Here is a 23,967-nt window from a genome sequence, read left to right as displayed (position 1 = left end):
GATAACAGAGGAAGCAGTCCTCCAACCCACAGAGTTATTTAAATTGAACTGGGCAAATGGCAATGGACCAGAAGACATGGCTTTTCACGGGAGCAAGCTTGAAACTTCTTTAACAAAGAAAAATACAATATGTCAAAATAGAACAGAATAGAATAGCAGTCATGTTTCAACAAAGAGATGTTTTGAATAAATTCATATCAATTTAATGTGCTTTTATTATATAAACCTTTTCTCTCTTAACTACAAACTGCTCTTTCCTAGCACAAGTAATTCTGAGTCATACGATGCTTAACATAGAAATTTGATTTAGGATTAATTAAAAGAGTGATGCAGAAATACACCAAGTTCTAAGGGACTAAAGTATAAATGACCCATACCAACAAATGGCTCCCCCTACCTTCCTTATATCCACTCTCCCCAACTTCTCCAACTTCCTCTCCTCAACTCCCTCACCTTCTACCCTATAATTGGCCTGCCGTGGAAGCTTTTATTAAAATCTTGCCATTTACCAAGAATGTGTAATTTTTAAATGAAAGTGGAGAAAGTCATGCAATGTCAAGAACAGCTCTGGCAAGCTGCCTGAGTCAGTAGGGAATATAGAAAGGTCAGAAATGGTGAGTGGGACAAAAATGTCTTGGGGGAAGTTGTGGTTAAACTAAGTCTTGAAAAAAAGCGGGTGCATTTTAGCAAGTTAAGGCTGTACCGGACAGCTATGTCATCATAAGCAAATCTATCAAGATGTAACGTAGCAGGGCATAGTGGGAGGTCTTGCCTAATTAAGCCTGGCTGGTAAGTGAGGAAAGGGAGACAGTGAGAAATGAAGATAGAGAAATAGAACCAGGGCTCAAACCTATATTGGCCTAGCTCCAAAAAGCACATGTTCTTAATCCTTAATCCTCAGTCACCTAATCCTAATTCACAGGCAAGAGCTAGATTGCAGAGGGCTACCCAGGCCATACCATGTTTGGATTTTACCCTGTGGGCTTGAGAGTCATGCAGGACAGTAATGTAATCAGAGGTATAACTAGAAGGTGACTCAGGAGCACTGTGGAGAGTGGAGAGGAACAGGGCAGGACCAGAAGCAGAGACATCAGCTGGGAAGTTTCGTAGTAATTCACTGAGGCAGAAATAGCCAGGACCTGCAAATGGCACCAGCATCAGAGATGGAAAGGAAAAGATAATTCCAGGAAGACTTCTCTGCGTCTGGCCCATTTTCCTGGGAAAAAATCATCAGTGTCCTCAGATATTTGAAGTGCTTTTTGGGGCAAGTCGCAGAAGGCCTGTATAGCAATGGTTTAGTAACATTTTGCTCACCTTCTAGGATTTTGAATTCTTCTGGTATCATTCCTCATTTCTGACTCTATATGCCCTACTGCAAATCATAAAGAAATACTAATTCTCTAAAATATTTTTCTACATGTGCATATCATACACAATGCTTTACCTTGTTTTTTTCAATAAATATTATGTCTGAGATATCATTCCATTTCAGCACAAATAAAGAACTGCCTCATTCCTTTTTGAGGCAGTATCATATCCTATTTTAAAGATATGCTCTAATTTATTTATCCCATCTTCTATAGATGTTTATTTAGCTTGTTTCCAATCTTTGGCCCTTACAAACAATGCCCCAGTATCCCCAAGGATGTTCAAGATATCCTTGAATATCTCTCCTTCCACACACGGGGAATTATATCTGTAGTATAATCTCTTGAGGTGCAATTTCTAGGAAAAGATTATTTGCATTTAATTTTACTTGACATTGCCAAATTGCCCTTCAGAGAGATGACATGATTTTTAAATGCATTTTTCCAGCTGTATGAGCTTATTGTATTTCACTGATCTTGGCTACATATACCATAAACTTAACGTGGAATTAAAGTCTAGTAAAATTTTAAACCTTGATTGTGCTTCACCATAAACCTGAAACACAAGTTAATCTATGATCACTAATATCATACTAAATAGTCACTCCTTCATATAAGCAGTGATTCTCAACAAGGGCAGTTTTGCCCCCTAAGGGACATTTGACAATGTCTCTAGAGACTTTTGGTTCTCAAAACCTAGGAGGAGGGTGCTATTGGCATCTAGTGGGTAGAAGTGAGGAAAGATGGGAAATCTCCCACAATGCACAAGAAATCCCCCAACAACAGAGAACTATCTGGCCCAAAATGTCAGTAATGTCGAAGTTGAGAAACCCTAATTTAAAACAAGGTAAATGTATAATATCTACATGATTACATGCTAAATACTGAGACCATAACACACTGATCCACACACACTACTATACTATGTAGCATGGAAGGAAAAACACAACAAAAAGGGGGGAATATAATTAATGTATTTTGTCTTCACTTAAGGAATTGTTTTCTCAATATTTTGTGATTAATATCACTAGCATATTTGGGATAAACTGAACCAGGGATTGTATCAAACTTGAAGAAGATGAAATTCAAAAGATGATCAGAAATTCCAAGGTAAGAGAAAAGAAGCACGTGAAGGTCTGAGAAGAGCAGGTAGAAAATGGAGAGATGATTCATTGTAAAACACCAAGGAAGGTTCTCTGAAAATACATAGAGGACTGATAGAACCAACGTCTGTTGATGAGTGAATAGTCTAACCGGAAAAAGAAAACATTTGGAGTCATTTTATACCAAAAGAGTGGTTCTTGGCCCATGTGAGAAATGCTATATTTCTCTCAAATCATTTTCGTCTGATTCAGGAAAAGTGCTAACAGTTTTCTATTGCTGTGAAACAAATTTCCAAAAACTTAGCAGTTTAAAACAATACCCACTTATTATTTCAGTTTCCATGGGTTAGGATTCTGGCATAGTTGAGCTGGGTCTTCTTCTTAGGGTGTCACAGTCTGAAATTAAGGTGTTGGCTGGGCTGCATTCATCTGGAGACTCAACTAAGGAAGAATCTACTTCTTAGCTCCCTCCATTTGTTGACAAATTTGTTTCATTGTGGTTGTGGAATTCATGGCAGCTTGCTTCGTCAAGGCCAGCAAGGGAGAGAGTCTGCTACTTCAAATCTGTCACCTCCAAACCTGTCTTTAAAGGACTCACTTGACTAGGTCAGACTCACCCAGAATAATCTGCCATTTGATTAGCTCCAAATCAAATAATTAGGGACCTTAATTATATCTGTAAACTCCCTTCGCCTTCGCCTTTGTCATATAATGTAATATAAAAACAGGAGTAATAAAAGTGATAGACCTTTGTCCTTTGCCATATTCTGTTGGTTAGAAGCAGATGACAGGTCCTGTTTACACTAAGGAGATAATATTACACAGTTATGAATACCAGGGAGTTGGAATCCTGGGGACCATCCTAGGGCATGTCTTCCTCAGATGGTTATGTCTCTCCTGAAATTTCTTTTGGTTTTCTTTTATTCTTTCATATATGTATGTGTGTGTGTGTGTGTGTGTGTGTGTGTGTGTGTGTGTGTGTGTGTATATATATATATATATATATATATATAAAATTTCAGACAGTCTTGCTCTGCTGCCCAGGCTGGAGTGCAGTGTCATGATCTCGGCTCACTACAACCTCCACCCCCAGAGTTCAAATGATTCTCCTGCCTCAGCCTCCTGAGTAGCTGGGATTACAAACATGTGCTACCACGCCTGGCTAATTTTTGTATTTTTAGTAGAGATGGGATTTCGCCATGTTGGCCAGGCTGGTCTCAACTCCTGGCCTCAAGTGATCCACCCACCTTGGCCTCCCAAAGTGTTGGGATTACAGGCATGAGCCACTGCACCCAGCCCTCTCCTGAAATTTCTTAAATCAAATCGTCATGGACACTTTGGGAGTACATGTAGCCTTGGCCTTGACTGATGGGCTCTGTATCCGTTGGCTTTTGCTGAATAGCCAACAACCACAGGGCCTAAGTAGAATTCATATTGCTTATGCATCTGGAGTCAACTGAGTGTCAACTAGGAAGCCCTGCTGATCTTGGCTCCCTCACATGGCAGACTGATAACTGTGGCAACCCGACTGCTGCACATCTGTCTCATCCTCCTACAATCCAGCTCAAGTCTGCTCTCACCCTGATTGCAGAGATGAAGGAGTAAAGGCAGGACCAATTACACACATTCTTTTTAAGCCCCTGTCTGTGTCACATTAGCTAACATGAGGTTTGTCAAAGACGTCCCCTGGGTGAGCCCAGAGTGAGAATGCAAAGACCTGCAAAATTACAAGGAAGGAGCAAGGAATTGGGGCCAAAAGGCCCTAACTCAATACCAGAGCTTCACCTCATCCCCAAAATGAAAGGAAGATATTTATTGCTTGAAACTTAGGGTTTCTCACTTGGCTAAACTGTGACCAACTTGATTTCTGTGCTATTTGCATCGAAAATAATACCAAACATGATGCATTAATAGAATAGATGATGCAAAAAGGTCATGCATAAAAAAACTCAACAAGAGCAAAACCACTCAGTATAATGAACTCAGAACTTTATGTTGGGTGATTCCAGAGATGTTTTGTTCCCAGAAACCAGTTGCCATAAGAAAAGAAATGCAAATGGCTTAGTGAAGATTATCAGCCTTTAACGCATAGATGCCAGAAAGGCCCATTCTCCCAGGATGGAAGAAAAACAGTGAAACTGCTGGTGCTGACCAAACTGGGATACTCTCACCGGGTTGTTTGTATCAGGATGTGTTCCTCCCTTGATGCCCATTAAACCAGAATAGTGAAGTCCTAATGCCTACAGGATCCATTTGCGACAAAGAAAGAATTCATTCAGATAAAAAGCTAACCGATAGGCAAAGATTTTCAAATTATTTTCTTCTTAAATATTTTTCACATTTGTAGTGACCAAAGGAGACCTGGATTTCAATCTTGACTTTGGACCTCACTAGCTCTGCAGTCTTGAGCAAATTATTTAATGTCCTCCGAATCCGTTTCCTCATCTGTAAGAAGGGATAGTGTTTTAACTTCACATGGTTGAGATAATAATAGTAAACACCTTAGTCTTGTGTTTGCCACAGTGGTAGCACATAGATATTCAAAGTTATTATTCCTACAAAAATACGGACTGTACTCACCCCATAATTGCATTTTAAAAGAAAGACCAGTTTTGCAATTTTCCAGGATTATCTACATGATAGCTTTTTACACAATCAGTATGTGAAAGGCTTTCCTTGAATGATGTTAAATAATCTGTCCTATTATTTGGAGAAGTATCCTTTGCAGATGTTGTATTGCGTGACAAGGTCTAATGGTAAAACTCTACTGAAAATGAGAAGATATAATGCTCAAAACCTGGCTGTAGCTCCTTATATCACTAGAAAATCTTTTACTGTCTCTAGGTCATGGTTCCTTCACTCATCCTAATAAATTGTAGTTAATTGCCTTCAACTGGCGTTAGTGAAGGAGACTTAGATAATATCTATGGAGCTTTTTCAATCTTACGAAAAGGCCCTCACTAATGAAATACATACATTCAAATGCAAAAGTAATGACATTAATTTTTATTTTTTATTTTTGTTAATAGAGTTATGACTATAGATGTTAATGAATTGCTTATCAATAACTAGATATTTATTTAATTTTACAACGTTTGCCACGTTTTCTCTAAAACTACTTTTGATGCTTCATTTTAAGTCTTAAATTGGGTCCTTTCCCCAGCAGCCTATTCTTATTCTTAGCAGAAATCAAAAGCTGCATTTTTTTCAAGCCTTAATGGCTAAGTAGTTATCTGTTTTTAATTTATTGTAGTCACTTAGAAAACATTCATGAAAATTATTAAACATATACTATTTTTACAGAGGAGAAGGAAAGGAATGTTCACTTCTGTCCAGTCTGTTGGAAGAGACAAAGGATGTTAGAAACCAGTGTGCAGCCTCTCCTAAGACTGTCCACATCATGTGACATTTTTACACATAATTTTTTGTGGCAAGATGACAGTTGCCATACAAGGCTCTGAAATCCCAGATGTAATTAAGATCTTATAATGAGCCACATTATGTAGGGAAATGCTTCTAACCCATTGTGAATGAAAAAAAAAATGTATAAAATCAAAAAACTCAATTAATTAGGTTTCATTGTGGACAAATTATTTTCCAAGCTCCGTTGTTATTTTAAACTGAGTCGGAGGAGGTGAATGTTGGAACACCCTCAAAGATGACTGAAAATGAGTTTGGAGAAAAGTGAAGTTTCAATCAGGATGGTTGTGTGGGTGTTTCATAAAGAGATGAATAAAGCCTGGTCAAGAGTCCTAACACAGTGGGGTGTCAAGGCAGAGAAGTCTTGCTTAAGCAAACTCAGTGCCATATGCAAGAAGTTAGGTGGTGCTGGCGTAAGACCAACACCGGTAATGGTGCACTCCAAGTCACCCCACTTACTCCAGCCCCCAGAAGAAAATTGTCAATGTTGCTTTCCTGGCATTTTTAATCAACTTCTCAATTATTATCTTGGCAATAATAATAACATAAAGGTAAACCTAAACAGTAATAGTGTTTGTTAGTATTCATGAAAGTAGATTGTCCCAGTATAAAGCTAACCAATGAAATTTTACTACTTCATAAACATTTTGTTCTTTTAATTTTCAAGGAAAAAATAGGGACCTCTTCAAAATAATCAGGATAGTCAGAGTCCCTTTTTGTTTGGAAAAGGTTTCTGAAACATAAAATCTTTGTTGGGTTAAGACTTTGGATTTTAGGCCAAGTTACAGTTTTCAGCAATTTCAGACATCTGCTTTATGATGTTACTGAAAGCGTTCCCCCACCACATTAAACCCAGCTTTTGGGTTGTACAGTGATGTAAAGTTTATTGAAACATTTTTACACTTGCTTTCTTTGACCACAATAGTCATTTTTTTGTAACATATTCAATTAAACAGGAACAGTATAAAGGCAGTGAAATTGATACGATTCTCATTTGAATCTACTGAATGCCTTAATTGTTCTCATTCGTGGCTGACTGCCATTGACAAAGATCTAGGAATATGAGTACACTATCCTACATAATAGAAAAGCTAATTTTTTGTTTTATTACTACTGTAATAATATTAAGTACCTAAAGAGAGTTATAGGCCTCTTGGGGCCCAGAACTCAGAGTTCAAAATGACCCTTCTTTGATTGGATCAAAATCTAATATTTGGCTGTGGCATTATCCAGAAGTATGGAGTTTATTATAGCTATGTTCAAGGAAAAGGTAAGGTGAAGGAAGATCAGAAGGGATATATAGTAAGGAGATTCCCATGTTACTAAACTATTTGTGGATGTTTTCCTGCATCATATGCAAATGAGAATTGGTAGGAAAACAGAGGGCTAAGAATTAGAGAAAATAAATTTGGGGAGGAGGGATGGATTGTGCCTCTTATTGCTCTGCTGAATCTCCAAATATAAACACACACACACTCAAACCCTTCTATGAGTCCTAAATTACATTCTTGCTTCAAGCTGGCTTTTTCAAATCTGGCAGTCCACTGGCGAAAATGTTTGCAGGTTAGAGAAAAAAAAAAAAAAAGGCAACAGAAAATTCACAAGACCAAATATGTGTGTGTGTGTGTGTGTGTGTGTGTGTATCTTTAGATATCTTTAGATGATATATACATACATACATATATATATATATATATTTAATTCACTGATGTGTACTTGAAAATATTATGCACCCAAGATGGAAATCATATAAGGTGAATTTTTCAACTGTGACAATACCATGAATAATTTTTAACTCAAAAGATGGAGTAAGTAAGTATTCAGTAAGATTCAAAGACAGGCTTCGGGAGCCTGTGACTACCTTGAAATTCTATGCATATATTTGTGGTTTGGTGTGTATATGCATTTGTGAATTTCTTACTACAGAAAGGTTTTATTAGATTATCAAAGAGGTGAGACCAAAAAAAGATTAAGGGACTGCTTCTTGAGAATCTGGTAAAGTATAAGTTGCCTCAAGATCAAAGGAACTAACCCTTTGACTTGCAAATCAATTGAAAGAGGAGTGGGGTGGTGGCTTTGGAGTCCTCTGGAAGTGGAGGGGGCCCAGCCCTCTCCCAGGGATCAGTGAAGGAAATTCAACAGAGTCAGGAAACTTCTTGACAGCCTGGTCACCAAGGGTTTGGAAAAAGGTTCTATTGGAGTGGAGATTGATGGGTGGAAAAAGGAGAGAGGGGAGTTGGACCTGATACCAAAGAGATGTTTTCAGCCATCAACCAGCTGCAAAACAAGATGGGCTTCCTTTTCCTACATATTCTTCCAAGCATCATAAATACTCGGTCTGCTCCCCAACCCACATCCTGCAGGATGCAGCCAGAGCAACAGCCCCACTCCACTCTGAAACCAGTCATCCTAGGGATGATGATCATTTCTTAGCTTCCCTGTTGGAGGTCGGTTGGGGTTGGCTGATCGCTGCTTGGTTCACTCCTGCACTGGCTGGGCGTTGGCTGCATGGTAAAGCTGTTCCCTGTCTCATCCTGTTGGGATAAACAGAGTATCCTAGGCATATTTTCTCCAGAGCAGTGGCAGACACAAAGGGTCAACAGAAACCCTCAAGGTTTTGTCATGCCTACTCTTGCAACTAGCACATTGTCATTTCAGCCTCATGCTATTGACCAAAGCAAGTCACTTGACCAAATTCAAAGCCACATGACAGGGAAATATATTGCACCTCTTTAGAAGGAGCACCTGCAAAGTTATTTGGGCCTGGATATACAGGGCAGGGAGAATTTTGGAGGCAAAAATGCAATCTGCCACATCTACGTTAGTGAAGTCAGTTTTTCGTACATGACTACCAAGACAAAGCACTTCACTTACCAACTCTATTCAAATAAATGGAAATTATTCAACCTAAAATTATGCAAACATTGCTCCCCTTGTGCCAAAGAACTGCACCATGTCTGATTGGCTTTGCAGGTCTGTGTAATTCGGCTGATAGCTGGATGATAGTACCCAACATCAAGCAGAACCACTACACGGTGCACGGTCTGCAGAGCGGCACCAAGTACATCTTCATGGTCAAGGCCATCAACCAGGCGGGCAGCCGCAGCAGTGAGCCTGGGAAGTTGAAGACAAACAGTAAGTGCTGTGAACTCAACAGAGCTGTCATGTCTTATCTGCTCTTCTTTCAGCTGACTCTGTCCCCCTTTCTTTTCCTTTTCTCTGTCTTGGGTATCATTGACAGCCCCCCAAAACAAGTAAAAAGCCAGTGTGGAATAATGGAATTTGCATCAGATACCTCTAGGTTCCAAAACTGATTCTATTCCTTCACAGCCGTGAGGCCATTACTCTCTCTGCATTACTCAATTTTAAAAAATTGAGTCTTCTCATTTTTTAAATAAATATTCCTGGAGGCATTCTTGTGAGAAGTAGATGATGTATATGTAAGACCTGACACACAGTAGGGGCTCTGTAAATGGTGGATAGTGTTATTTTTCATAGCAGAGTAGCCAACTAATCACTCTTCAGAAATTCTTTTATTCTAGAAAACAGTCGGAGTCTGTGGTTCTCAATCAGGGACACTTCTTCCTCCCCCTCCACCCCACCCTACCAGGACATTTAGTAATATCTGGAAGAGGTTTTTAGTTGTCACATCTGAGGTGGATGCTACCGGCATGTAGTGAGTAGAGGCCAGGGATGATGGGAAACATCCCCAATCCACAGGACAGTGCGCATCACAGAGAATGGTCTGGCCTATATGTGTGTCTCATGATACTGTCATCTCCCTCTCTCTGTCCACATGTGTTTTGTTTTATCCTCTCTTCTTTCTTTACATCCTTTTGATCTAGGAATATTATGTTATGTAACATGGTGTTTATTTGCATAAGACCTCCCAAGAGAAAGCAAATTGGAGTGTGTCGGTATGGCGCCATGTTGTGAGGTTGCCAGGCAGTCAACAGGAACAATTAAGTGCTTTTCAAGGGGAACCCTCATTTAACCTATATCCTTGTTTCTCAGTACAAGTGTTGTATCCTAGAGGAATGTGTTGGATCCTAGAGGAAGAACAAGGGATGTAAAGAGAGCACTGAATTACGAATGAGAAGACTGTGGCTTTCCCACTTGGTACCCATATAGCTATATGGCTAGTTTCTTCATATTTTTAAATAGATTTTTTATTTTGGAATAGCTGTAGATTTACAGGAAATCCATAGATAATACAGAGAGTTCTGTACACCCTTAACCCAGTTTGCCCAAATATTAACATCTTATGTAACCTTGGTACAGTTATCATAACTAAGAAATTAACATTGATGAATTACTCATAACTAAACTCCAGACTTTATTCAGATTTTACCAGCTTTCCACTAATGTTCCTTTCCTATTCCGGGACCCAATCCAGGATCCCACAATGCATTTAGTGTTCCTTCAGTTTTAAAATGGGAATATTTTAACAACTTGAGGGTTGTTATGAGTTGTCAAAAAGACCCTCTCAAAGTAATTCTAAAAGTACATAAGAGAATATAACATGATGATATATTTCTTTACAGTCATACAACAAATGGCACAATACCTATGCACACTTAGATCAGCATTATTTGATTTGCATTTGAACATGTAAATATTTGTTCCTTCAAAAGATATGTTTGAGCACCAAGTGTGTTTGGGATGCTGTGCAAGATGCTAAGGATATTATGAGTATCTTCAACTCCCTAAGGTGTGCTTCTCTCTCAAAAAGGTCCTAGACTATTGGGGAATAAAGCACATTAATCCTAATTAACATTCAATATGTGAAATCTCTGACTGGAATAACCATGAGAGGTTCTAAGTTGACAAAGCCAGGGTGCCCCAGCACAACCTTGAGAGGCTTTCCAAGGTAGGTTAGGAGCAGGGGATGTGAGGACACAGTGTTCCATGCAGAAGGAACAGCATGGGCAAAAGCCCAGAGACAAGGAGAATATATTTATGGAACAGAAAATTGATCCATGTGGTTAAAGTGTGTCTTAGGTTGGGAGGATAGGTGAGCCAGGAGGCTGGAGACAAGAACAGATCGCGAAAGCCTCCTGGGCCACACCAGGGAGTTTCTTTGTATACCAATGATTGGTGGAGAGATTGAAGAGTTTAAATCAAACAGGCAGGATGAAAATTTCCATGAAATAAAGCTCTCTTGCACTATGATGTGGTGAGTGGATTACAAGGAAGGAAGACTGGCTGCTGGGCACAGTATCAAAAGATTATTGAAAGAGTTGTCCATGTAAGTAAACAACGGCCTGAATAAGAGTCGTGTCCCATACAAATATTATAATGAATTGAATTATTTAGTAAAGTAAGCTATTAATCTCTTTCTTGAACTAATTTGTCTTCACTGAAGCAAAAGCCTTGAATTTGGGCAGAGTAGGTAGTGGTTTATTTGGGAAACATATCTGAGGCATGGGCAGAATTTGCTCACCAAGATTGCATGATTCTGCTCCACACATGCGTGGGTGAGGGTGTGAGCCAAGGCAGGCAGGATGTTTGAGGCAGTATGTCACCATCACAAGGCCGGTCTTTCCAATGGCTCTGACATTCTGATATATCTCACCGGAAGGAGGCCGAGCAGAACTTGGCCTTCATTGTAAATGATGGGCGCCATTAAGGAATTTCTTCCTGCTCTGCCCATTAGTATCCTATCAATCATTTTTAATCCATATTCTACCTTCCACCTTTAAAAATTGAAATATTTTAAGCAAAACTGTCTTCATACTCTTCTTGTCTTAGTTCATAGTTTATCTCTGATAGTTGCTAGCATGATCATTCCTAAGGACTTCTTTTTACAAGTCAAAATTTAAACTACACATGTAATCCAATAGATCTTACGGCCTCTGAGAATGTCCAATCCCTGCTCAGCCCTTGAGGGTTTTCTCTGCTCCCCCTTTAAAGCTTTTCTTTTCTTTTTTATTGTTATTTTTTTGAGACAGTGCCTCACTCTGTTGCCCAGGCTGGAGCGCAGCGGCATGGTCTTGGCTCATTGCAACCTCCGCCTCCCGGGTTCAAGTGATACTCGTGGCTCAGCCTCCCAAGTAGCTGGAATTACAGGTGTCCGCCACCACACCCAGCTAATTTTTGTATTTTTAGTAGAGATGGGGTTTTACCATGTTGGCCAAGCTGGTCTTGAACTCCTGACCTCAGGCAATCGAGCTGCCTTGGCCTCTCAAAGTGCAGGCATTACAGGCATGAGCCACCAGCCCAGCCTAAGCTTTTCTTTGATATGTACAGAAATAGATTTCTAAAACAAAAGCCAGCTAACTATAGCTCAAGGGCCAAATCTGGCTGCCTGATTTTGTAAATAAAGTTTTATTAGCATATAGCCACACCCATTCATTTACCTATTGTCCTGTCCGTGGCTGCCCCCTCACTATAGCAGAAGAGTTGAATAGTCACAAAAGAGACCACATGGCCTGGCCTGCATAGCCAAAAATATTTACTGTCAGGCCCTTTGCAGAAAAAGTATGCTGGTCCGTGACCTAAAAAGAAAGGATTTTAGAGGTGCTGGTGTTGTGTTGTGTTTGTATCCAAAAGGCAACTGGAAATCCTTTGGCCTACCCACATGTGACAACACACACTGTCCTATACTCACTGGGTCAGTTTCTCGCCCAGCATCGTGTATTGCCACAGTTGAATTTACTAGACCTTTTCCTGTGATTGAGAGCTGTATACTGGGCAGAAGGAACCTGCCAACTGCAACAGTGACTGTGGAGTTTGGACACCATGGCATTTGTATCAGGTTGCAATGCATTTCCTGCCTTTAAACGCCTTGTACCCAATGCAGTGTTGAATGACAGGCAGTACTCCAAACCAATATTGAATTGTCAAAGAAGAAGTAACAACTATGACAAAATGTCCAGGTGTGACTCTGCCAAGATTTTTTTAATACTTAAATCTTTAAGACACAAATGTGAGTAATGAAATAGAGAAGGCCTTATTATATATAAATAATTTCATGAGTAGAAAACCCAGGCATTGCTATCACATTTTTTCCTAATTTTGTGGCCTGAAAATTGTATTCTCATCCTAAATTCCTAAGAGTAATGCTTTAATTTTTAATAATCTCAGAATAATATAAACCTCTAGAATATTCTATATGTTAAGACCCAAGATCTTGATTTGTTTGGTTTCTGGTCTGAAGTCTATTGAGCATGAATGCATCTTATGCTGGATAGAACACTGCAGTGGTTGAAAATGGAGTCTTCATTCATTCCTCCTTTTCAGGATGCTATCCAGCCAGTATGTACCTGTGCTGCTTGTATACACCTGGAATCCGTGAAGCTAGCTCACCCTATGTTTTCTGGCTAAGCCTTATCCATGCTGTTGTTGAATAGTTGGCATGCCACCACTGGATCCCTATCTTAGAACTGGTAGACTGAAAGCTTATGAAGACAGGAACATGTTCTTTTTCACTCTTACTGTGTACTGTACTATACACAGAGTTGCTGCTCTCTATTGTCTTTTGAATATTATGAAAACTTTGCAAGCAAATGTCTTTGAAAGTTGCTTATAATGTTTAAATTACTATTAAAATATAAGATACCACTTTGTGATAGGAGGCATGACTCAGGGAGGGCTGGCTTGTTCCTGTCTTTTAAACCTGATTTTGAAAATATGCTATTGGTTATGATAAAATAAACAATCCTCTTCCTCTTCCTTTTTCTGTTTTGTGAATTTGTTTTCAGGCCAACCATTTAAACTGGATCCCAAATCTGCTCATCGAAAACTGAAGGTGTCCCATGATAACTTGACAGTAGAACGTGATGAGTCATCATCCAAGAAGAGTCACACACCTGAACGCTTCACCAGCCAGGGGAGCTATGGAGTAGCTGGAAATGTGTTTATTGATAGTGGCCGGCATTATTGGGAAGTGGTCATAAGTGGAAGCACATGGTAAGCAACTTATTTCTATTGTCCTGCAGTTATAAAAAGGCACATCTCATTCTGTACTTAGAGAGTCAACCCATACTGTAATGCATCTTAAAGAATAAAATGCAGAAAAGTTGTATTAGTCAGCTCTTGCTAGGATAATACTGCATAACAAACACCCCCAAACTCAGCAGATTCAAACAACAACCATATATTACTAATACCCACACCTGTGGGTTCTCTGTTCAAGATTATAGAGCTCTGATCATTGGATGAGCTATACCATGTTAACACTGCTCTTTCATGCCATGAAACATGGGTTGGCAAACCACAGCCCATGAGCCAAACCTGGCCTGCTACCTGGTTTTGTAAATAAAGTTTTATGGGAATACAGCCAGGTCCATTTTTTTACATATAGTCCATGGCTGCCTTTCAGCCACAACAGCAGAATCGAGTAGTTAAGAGAGAATCATATGGTCTACGAAGCCAAAAATATTTACTTACTTTCTGGTCCTTTCCAGAAAAAGTTTGCCATTCCCTACTTTTAAACATCACTCTTCATCATTACACAAAACTAATTTCTGTTGCCTTGTATGTTTTATGGTTCTAGACTGGACCAATTAGTGCAAATAGCTAAGGGTTGAATGGTGGGGGTGAAGCAGTGATCATAGGCTGGGAATAATTTCAAAAGGCCTGTTAGATCCAGCCCAGTGACTTTAGCCCACTGAGTTCTCTAAGAATAAGGGCAAAGGTCAGGACACAATTACATTGGAATTAGTTAACCTCACAAAGTTAACCTTGCCTAATCCACAGCCACAACTGCACCCCTTTGACCGTCTGTCTCACAAATGCCTGCTTGCTATTGATCAAAAAGGGAGCTATTTTATTTTTATTTAACAAGCCCTCATATGGTACAAGTATGTGCCAGGCACTGGTCTAAGCATTTTACAGATGTCAACTCATTTATTCAGCCTTACAGCCCTACAAAGGTAGGTGCTAATATTATCCACTTTACTGATGAGGTGACTGAGGTATATGCTGAAGATCACAGGGTTACAAAGCTCACAGGTGGCAGAGTCAGTAAGTCTGCAGTCAAGGGTCAGGCTCTTAACCAGCAGTCCACAAACATTATCTGTAAAGGGCCAGAGATTCAATATTTCTGGTTTTGCATGCCAAATGATTTTTGTCACTAATACTCGACTCTTCTGTTGTAGTGGGAAAGCAGCCACAGACAACACCTACACAAATGGACATGGCTGCGTTCCAATAAAACTTCATTTATAAAAACAGGCAGAGGGCCAGAGTTGGCCCCTGGGTAGTAGTTTGCTGTTCCCCGCTCTTAACCACCATGGTATGCTGCTATTCACAAAAGGGTGGTATATTTTTGAAATGCTATAATTACTCTCTAGGGTTTATGACAGTGTACGTAATGAGTGATAGCTGAATCCTTGCTTTAAAAAATAAAATCAACATTCAAAATTGCATAGCCTGAAGATGGTGAGTATAACAGTGTTTCTTTCAATATAAGCATGATAAAACACTTATTTATATATAAAAAAACCTTTCAATTCAAACCTATGCAAATAATGTGACATGGCTGAGTCCTTTATATTGTAGGTAGAAATTAGCCAAAAATCTAAGAAGTGAATTGTAAGCTTCCCATCTCTCCCAATAATGGTACATACTATATTGGCTGAGCGAGTAGGTTTTCCTTTGTTGCTATCCTCATAATTCTCTTTGCCTAGAAGAGTTTTCTGTTCCAACATCCTGCCAGAGGATGGAGGACAAATCCTTCACCCCACTAGGCTCTGGGCTAGATTGGCATTTGCAATTTTTAGCTGCAGTGGGGCAAAATTAAAGCACAAAGGAAAACACAATGGATGCAGGTACAAAAAAAGCAAATGTTTCTAGTTAATTAATGTGCTGTATTAATCTGGGATAGAATCCAGGGTCTAAATGATTATTACTCTATTAATAATTAATTATGATAAATGAAACCTGATCATTATGATCTCATTGCCATTGATGAATAGTTTGCAAAATTCCATCAGACCACTTCAGTTATATAAACACACATCAGCATTACCTTGAAAACACCCTCCAGATGTCAAAACTAACTCATGAGGGGGAAAAGAAATTCTAAAATTAATTGCTACACAATTAATCTTTACAAACCTGACGGTGTCAATTTCAGAAAAATCTTCATGTAGAAAGTCACTTTACATTTCCTTGGGGGGTATTAGCAAGGAAGGGGCACCCCCTACGATTAAATGCCTGTGACATCTTGACTTGCAACAGCTAATGACATATTTGCTTATGAAATATAGTCCTGACTTTAAATTGATGTGTACATTATGATCTGTGCAATGGGGCACGTTAACATTGCTCCGAGAGACATAATTTTTATACTTTGAATTCTCCGTGTCTCACTGCGTAACTTAATGGAACATTACATTCTGCCTGCACATTTCAAGCTCAATGGAAATATGTACCTAGTTTCACAGATTAATGATACTATAATGGTATTTTCCTTTGCTTAATGGACTATACACTTAGTATTTTCTTACTCTCTAATGCTAATGTGCACTTGGTGTTTTATGAAATGGTGTTAACTAAATGAGTAATAACGGGTTCATGCAAAGATTATTAGACCAGAAGGGGTGGGGGCAGCATACAACTCTGGATTTTGCTCCCAATTTTAATCTTCTGTTTCTACTTGCTACATGTAGTCAGCCATACCTGCCACAGCTATTTCATAGGGTTCAGTTAAGGTTCAAATGGGAAATAAACATCAAAGTAATAAAAAATAAAAATGCTGTGCCACAACAAGAAGGAAACAATACAGATGTGGTGATTTTGTGATGCAGGTTCCAAATTGTCTGAAAAGCGGAAATAGTATTCACTGGGGTATACAGAACATTTTTGGGGGGTGGGAGATACTGACAATTGCAAAATGAAAACCTTTCCAAAATGTATGTATTAGTCTGTTTTCATGCTGCTGGTAAAGACATAACCAAGACCAGGCAATTTGCAAAAGAGGTTTATAATGGACTTACTTACTTACAGTTCTATGTGGCTGGGAAAGCCCACAATCATGGCAGAAGGCAAGGAGGAACAAGTCCCGTCTTACATGGATGGCAGCAGGCAAAAAGAGAGCTTGTGCAGGGAAACTCCCCCGTTTTAAAACCATCAGATCTCATGAGACTTATTCACTATCACGAGAACAACACTGAAAGGACCTGCCCCCATGATTCAATTTCCTTCCACCGGGTCCCTCCCACAACATGTGGGAATTCAAGATGAGATTTGGGTGGGGACACAGCCAAACCATATCAGTGTATCAAATAAACAGATGACATTTGAGACCCTCGATGCATGCCACAGAAGGGAGCCAGAAGCTTACAGGACCCTGGAAGGGCTGGGGCATGAAGTCAGGGAGTCTGCTGCTCTAGTTCATGGAGTCATGATGAGCTGTAGCTGCTGCAAAGTTGCCCACAGCACAAGGCAGGTGTACTCAGGCGCTCATCTAGAAGCTTCCACCAACCGCACGTCTACTGTCTGCCATCAGGAAAGCGTGTTTCCCCTCCTCTAAGCACTTCTGGATCTTGTGCAAAGGCATCACAATAGCAGAGCCTGACCCAGACTCCTACAGGAAAGGGGATTCTGGGAAATGCAACTTGGATTCTCCTCATAAGCAGGAGAGGATGGACGGGAGGGAAGAGAGGATGCAACATTGATGACAGACAGGCCTGCACACTGGGCTTGGCAGATTATCAATTCCATCCTTCTTTTGGATTTAGTGATGGCATGTTGTGTTAATTTTCTTTTTAAACAAACACACCACTCTTAAAGTGATTGTATTTTAAGTCCAGTGTGATTTTTTTTAAAGAATGTCATTTTATTAAAGACCCATGAAATTTTTCTCTCTGCATTGGGTAAGGTACCATATGTTAATATCCAATTAGACTGGTTTCTGCTATAACATATTAAAAGTTCAACTGTGAGTCATTTACTCTTTATAAAGAGTGATGGGTTTTGTTTATCTTAATAACTGAAATACGATGAATATTACAGAGGCATGACTCAGAGGGGTAAAAAGAGATTAAGATGCTTAGAACATTGTAGAAAGCATTCTTTGGATTTTTTTGAGCAGCAAGAGAACATTTAGAATAACCAGAAGATCCGTCTGCTCAAACACGTTCAGAATTTTTTTTCCAGTATAATCAGAAAGGCTCTTGGCAGTGATGAACTGCACAATTTCTGGTTACGGATGGCATTGTAGAATGTAGTTCGTGTTTGTGGGTTTTGAGTCATCCTGAGTTCAAATTCTGATTCTGGTACTTATTGTTAATATGTGCCATCAGGCAATAATAATAAAATAAATAGCAGTTACTGAATATTACATGCCAGGTCCTGTGCCTGGGACTTAACATGTATTCTCTCCTTTACTCCTTAAAATAACACTGTATATTTCTCAATATACATGAGAAAATTGGGGCTGAGTAATGACAAAGGATTTATCCCTGCAAATGGGAATCATCTTCTGTGCTTGCCCTTGGCAAAGTGCATTCAGAATCAGAAAATGACAGACATGGTGTTAAATGAAAAATTATAAGAAGGTCAAAAGGAGAAGTCTAGGGTTGTGCTGTCCAGTATGGTAGCTATGAGCCACAGGCAGCTATTTAAATCATTTAACTTAATGAAAATTAAATAAATTTAAAGTTCAGTTCCTCAGTCTCACCAGCCGCAGCTAAAGTGCCCAGTAGCCATATGTGGCTTGTGGTTACCATATCGAGGAGAGCAGAACATTTCAGTCATTGAAGAAAGTTCTTTTGGTCAGCACTGGTCTAGCGAATTCATTGTGTAGATTTTTATAAGAGTGAAAAAAAGCAGCAAAACTCAAAGTTCAAATTCTCCGTAGTGTTTGAGCTGAAAACAGAAATGTGGGTAAATACGACGCTTCTTTCCACCCACTACTTTCCACCCACTTTCCATGTTTGGGAGGGAAGGAGATGAGGAACACAGATGTTGGGGTTCTTGCCAAGCTTTCACTTAAAGAAAATGAACAGGGACAACAAATGATCATGTTTTTATAACCCCTGAGGACCACAGAACGGATTTAACGTGCATGTGCAACATGGCTCATTGTTTTTGTTGTTGCTGTTTTGTTTCCGCAGGTATGCCATTGGTCTTGCTTACAAATCAGCCCCGAAGCATGAATGGATTGGGAAGAACTCTGCTTCCTGGGCGCTCTGCCGCTGCAACAATAACTGGGTGGTGAGACACAATAGCAAGGAAATCCCCATTGAGCCTGCCCCCCACCTCCGGCGCGTGGGCATCCTGCTGGACTATGATAACGGCTCTATCGCCTTTTATGATGCTTTGAACTCCATCCACCTCTACACCTTCGACGTCGCATTTGCGCAGCCTGTTTGCCCCACCTTCACCGTGTGGAACAAGTGTCTGACGATTATCACTGGGCTCCCTATCCCAGACCATTTGGACTGCACAGAGCAGCTGCCGTGAGCGTCTGGCCACATGGAGCTGCTTTCTGGGGAACAGTAAGGTTCAGGCCACTATTTAGGGGACTGAGAAAGCACAGGCTTCATGAGTGTAATGAAATCTCACCAGAAGTGTCCCGAAATCGGCTCAGATAGGGCTCAAAACAAGAGATTCCTCTCCTTTTACTGTGTCTTGTATTAAGTACGGGCTTTAATAATTTCTTTAATTTTTTTGTATTTAGAGGAAAATCTATAGATTATTTATAAGAGAAACATAATCAGGATTACAACTTTTAGGAATTACTTGGTTTTGCACATTAAGAGGCCCATAAGTTTATCAGCTATTTACAACCTTCATTTCATCACAATCTGTGGGCTTACAAAAAAACAAAAACTTTTGTAGTTTTGTATGTTACTCATCTTCTTACCTGATATCCCATGATGATCCCATGGTAGGTCTTCTCACCTCGATGGTGCATAACAGGATGTGTTTGAACCTAGTAGGGGAGGAAACAGGCTTTCTTACTCTGGTTTAATTTGAAGTGTTTTAATTGTGATGTCAAAAAGTTGTATCAGATCAACTAAAATGGAGAGCAAGACAGAGAATGAAAAGAGTTGATTTTGGACCTCGGACCTTGCCGTGGCTAAATCTTTACCTTCTCATAGCTGATGGGATAATGTTGGAAAGAAAGGTTCTGAATCCTTTGGCCACATTTTGCCCTGCTTCTCTCAGGGTTAAGGGTTCTGGAAGAACATTAAGAATGAGATTGCAATTGAAAATAGTCATTTTGAATCCTATTGATTATTCAAAAATTCAGGCTGATTTGTCTTTTATCAGAGGTAGGATTCTGTTTTATAGTATAGAATCTACTTTATCCTTCCTTTTAATAGTTCCTTTAGACCTGTGAAATTTCTTCACTACATTTAATAGTTCTCCTATTTCCCGCTCCCCCATATCAATTTTCCTTTTGTCTCCGGGGCTGAGTAAATAAACATGTTCTGTCACAAATAGCAGCACCACTTTGGATTGATTTTGCTCTCCAGGACATCAGCACATGGCCCTGATCAGCACTACCACATCCAAACATAAGTCACTGAAAAACACTTAATATTTATGAGTTGGTAATGACAAGGGACATTGTATAAAGTACTATTTGCTAGATTCATGCCTCAAAAGTTATTATAAACAGACCTTTATTAAACACATCTTGAAAGATGTAGAAGTCCCTCTATAGTCTAGTATAGTTTACAATAGAGTTGTAAGACCAAAAAAAAAAAAAAAAAATTCAAACTCGTTATTCAGGAACCTGCTTATAAAATGTCAGCTGGGATTCTTTGCATGCCAATCTGATGCGTTGGAATGGTCCATGAATTAAGGCTTTCTTGAGCAGTTCTTGGCCCAGAACTCTGGCATTGGTTCTAGTTTGATGAAGGGCATGACCTCTATAAATGGTTTCAATTGCTAAAATATTTACCTGGGATACTGGGTCAGCCATTTTGACTGAGCAGACTAGTGGATTTAGACATTGTTTTTAGTTATTTTGTTTTTAACCAAATCAACCAACTGCCTCCCTGAAATAAGTCAATGAACTCATTGTTTCAGCATCACGTGGCCAAAGGTCATGTGATTGCAAATCTGGATTTCAAGGGAGGCCAAGCCAGCTTCCTGGGTCCTTCCATCCTCTTCCCTAGCAGACACTCTCCTTTTTCTTAACAGATAGATTCTATATATTTACTATATTATTTATACCCAGATGAATATTTTGATAGATACCTAAGACAATTTCACATCTAAAAGATGGACGCCTCAATGGAAAAAAAACAATCTTTCTCTGGAAACCTTATAGGTTTTTCTTTTTATTACAATATAAAAGCAATGTGTGTTTGCCTTCTCTGAGTAAACTGAAAGGGTTGTCTCAGTAATTTTTACATACATTTTGGGTAACTGGATAATGGATATTTTAATGCACTTTGTACACTAACAGGTTCTAAATAAAAGGGTCTAAAACTCAGCTTCTGAGTTTTTAAAATCACGGTCTCCAGGTACCAATAAATGCTACAGTTTGCCTTATGATGTTAACATAAAACACTTAGTAGAAGGACAATATTTCCATGAAAATAATGTTTTTCAATATTAAGAAGTTACTACTCAAATTTTCACAGTAAGCCATTTAGGGTATGTTTGGCTATTTTTATAAGGACATGAGAGATTATGTCATAATTTTGTTGTGGAAGTCTCACTCTTGGCTAACTTAAAAGCATTGTGGATAGTAGCAGTTACTAGTTCCAGGTTGTCATATTTACAGGAAAATATGTATATGGTGAAAGGCCACCGTGTTTAATTACTATAATGATGTAGAAAAGATTCCCGTGTGAATTTTTTTTTTGAAAGTCTAAAAAATGTATGCTGTAAAAATTTGCTGCAGTGTAATTTTGCATTCTCTTTAAACTGATTGAGGTCACAGTATTTTATTATTTGGGGTCCTCACCACAGGAAACACTGCGATACAGGGGCAAAAGAGATGGCAGTGCCAATTAAATTAATACAACAAAATCAATGCAGCACCAACCAAGACTGCCAGGTCTGGTGTCATGGGTATGCCCAGAGCCCAGGAGTTCAGAAGGGCCCTAAGCCTGATTTAATGCTCTGCTGTTGATGTCTTGAAATTCTTAACAATTTTTGAACAAGGGGCCTGCGTTTTCACTTCGCACTGGGCCTTGCAAATTACATAGCGAGTGCTCATAAAAGAACTCAGAAACGTGGTACCTCTCTTCCTGGTGGATACAAATAAAGAAATCTGGATCCAAAGTTGAAAGTTGCTGGCGATATCATTCAAGTAGGACTCTAAATAGTGGATTAAGATGAGGGTGGGCCTGGGTGAAGATTCTTTCCAGCTTTAAAAGAAAGTGACTTCAAAAACTGACTGCAAATATTGACGATGGTTTCTGCTGGAGGAAAAGAAACAGCTTGAATACAGACAGGCTTTTTTATTACGGTACTGATATATTGACCTTAAACTTGCTGAGGAACTGAACTAACGTCCTCCAGTGACCGTGGAATTCCATCTCAGCTCCAGGAACATGCAGATACCTGCAAAGAGACACGCATATATGCTGGCATACATGTGCATTTGGTGTTGGGAAGTTGACCATCTGGTCTATCTTAATAAAATGGTAAAAAGCACACCAAGACAATGATGGGGGCAGGAGGATGTTTTTGAAAACAGCGCTTCTCAACCAGTGCTCGATTTTGCCCCCCAGGAGACATTTGGCAATGCAATGGCAACTTTTGGTTGTCGCAGCCGGGGAAGGGAAGCTACCAGCATCTAGTGCGTAGAGGTCATGGACGCCGTTAAACATCCTACAGTGCAAGCGCAGCCCCCGACCACGAAGAGTTGTCTTGCTCAAATATCAACAGTGCTGCAGTGTAGAAACTTGATCGTTGGTTTTCTTTTAATGCAAAACTCTCATAAAAACCTTTCACTTTTCCTGTCATTGATTATATGCTTGATACACCCAAAAAGAAAAGGGGAGGGGCACCAATTCACCTACACTCCAGTGGCTCCATCACCTTTAAAAATATTTATAAAATAGTTCCAAAAATCTGATATCTGAAAAGCAATCCAAGCCTGTGTAAATGGGAATCACTGATAAGTATCATCATCTGTATCAGCTTGGCTTGGACATGAAAAATTGATTCTCTTTATGTCACTCCTTGCACCTGGACAAATTCAATCCCCGGTACTTAAGTCACACTGCCAAGCCCTCGGCCCTGACTATTGTCTTGATTGCTGTTCCTTTCTGGTTCAAAATAAAATCATTTTTGTGGCACCAAGACCCTCTGTCTCTGCCTGTCTCTGTTGCCTTTTCATCATTTTGTGTTTTTGCAGTTATGATGTTGACAAATATTTATTCAACATCTACCATTTATTCATACTACTTTATGACATATAATTCATTTTCTTTTACTGTCTCTCATCCACTATTTGCCTTTCCCTATTCAAAATACAATTCTTTTGCAACACTCAAAATATTCTCCAGGGAATTTTTAAAACACAATAAAAGAAAGCCTATATAGAAGTGGAAACCCAGAACAAGGTTTGCTTGATTTCAAGTCTTATAGATGGGGTGAGGAAGAGAAGAGCAATGATTATTTGAACAGAGCACTGGGAGTCTTTACAGTGTGATCTAGGAGAATCCTAGCAGTTGGTCCATACATATATCCTCAACCCCATCCCATGGACCTGACTTTCTCTCACTAGAGATGCAAGCCTTTGGTCTTGGTCAGTGCTATGCAAAGTGTGGTCCAGGAATCTGCAGCATCTGCATCACCTGCGAGCTTGTTAGAACTGTCAGTTCTCCTGCCTCCCCCGAGACCTGCTGATCAGAATCTTTGGGGTGGGACTAGCAGTCACCCCAGGGGATTTTGATACTAGTGGAAGTGTGTGAAGCACTGCCCTGGGGAGCTGCTTCCAGTCTCATAGCCCATATAGAAAGGCACTTACCACCTGAGATGTGTTTTCAAGGCAATGTGCTTTTAGAGAGAGCAGGATGTAATGCAGTGATTCTTAACATGACTGAGCATTTAAACCATCTTTTCTGCAAATGAGGATTCCTGGATCCCATCCTGAAAGATGAGGGATGAGAAAATCAAGAGCACAAGAGCATGGCTCAGCAGCCTGTACTTTT

At 39.6% G+C, this 23,967-nt stretch overlaps 1 protein-coding gene across 6 annotated transcripts in view, besides 1 other annotated feature; it reads left to right on the top strand.

Moving 5' to 3' along the window:
- The window catches only part of MID1 (midline 1), a 388,374-nt gene extending 365,013 nt beyond the window's left edge, over positions 1–23,361 (top strand). For 5 of the 6 annotated variants that reach the window (NM_033290.4, NM_001098624.2, NM_033289.2 and 2 more), the window contains exons 8-10: positions 8,864–9,025; positions 13,594–13,801; positions 18,955–23,361. In NM_033290.4, coding sequence (NP_150632.1) covers positions 8,864–9,025; positions 13,594–13,801; positions 18,955–19,303 — 719 coding nt within the window. In that variant the 3' untranslated portion in view covers positions 19,304–23,361. The remainder of the gene's footprint in view (positions 1–8,863; positions 9,026–13,593; positions 13,802–18,954) is intronic. The other variant, NM_000381.4, reaches the window with a different exon arrangement.
- Positions 18,533–19,732: an enhancer, noted in NCBI's record as "BRD4-independent group 4 enhancer chrX:10416979-10418178 (GRCh37/hg19 assembly coordinates)". NCBI's record gives its function as "activates an origin of replication core promoter dependent on BRD2, P300/CBP, MED14 and CDK7 cofactors, and independent of BRD4, by STARR-seq in HCT116 cells {active_cell/tissue: HCT116}" and the evidence as "EXISTENCE:reporter gene assay evidence [ECO:0000049][PMID:35650434]".

This window comes from Homo sapiens, chromosome X, assembly GCF_000001405.40.
Source record: "Homo sapiens chromosome X, GRCh38.p14 Primary Assembly".
Taxonomy (NCBI): domain Eukaryota; kingdom Metazoa; phylum Chordata; class Mammalia; order Primates; family Hominidae; genus Homo; species Homo sapiens.
This window is presented reverse-complemented; position numbering and strand designations above follow the sequence as displayed.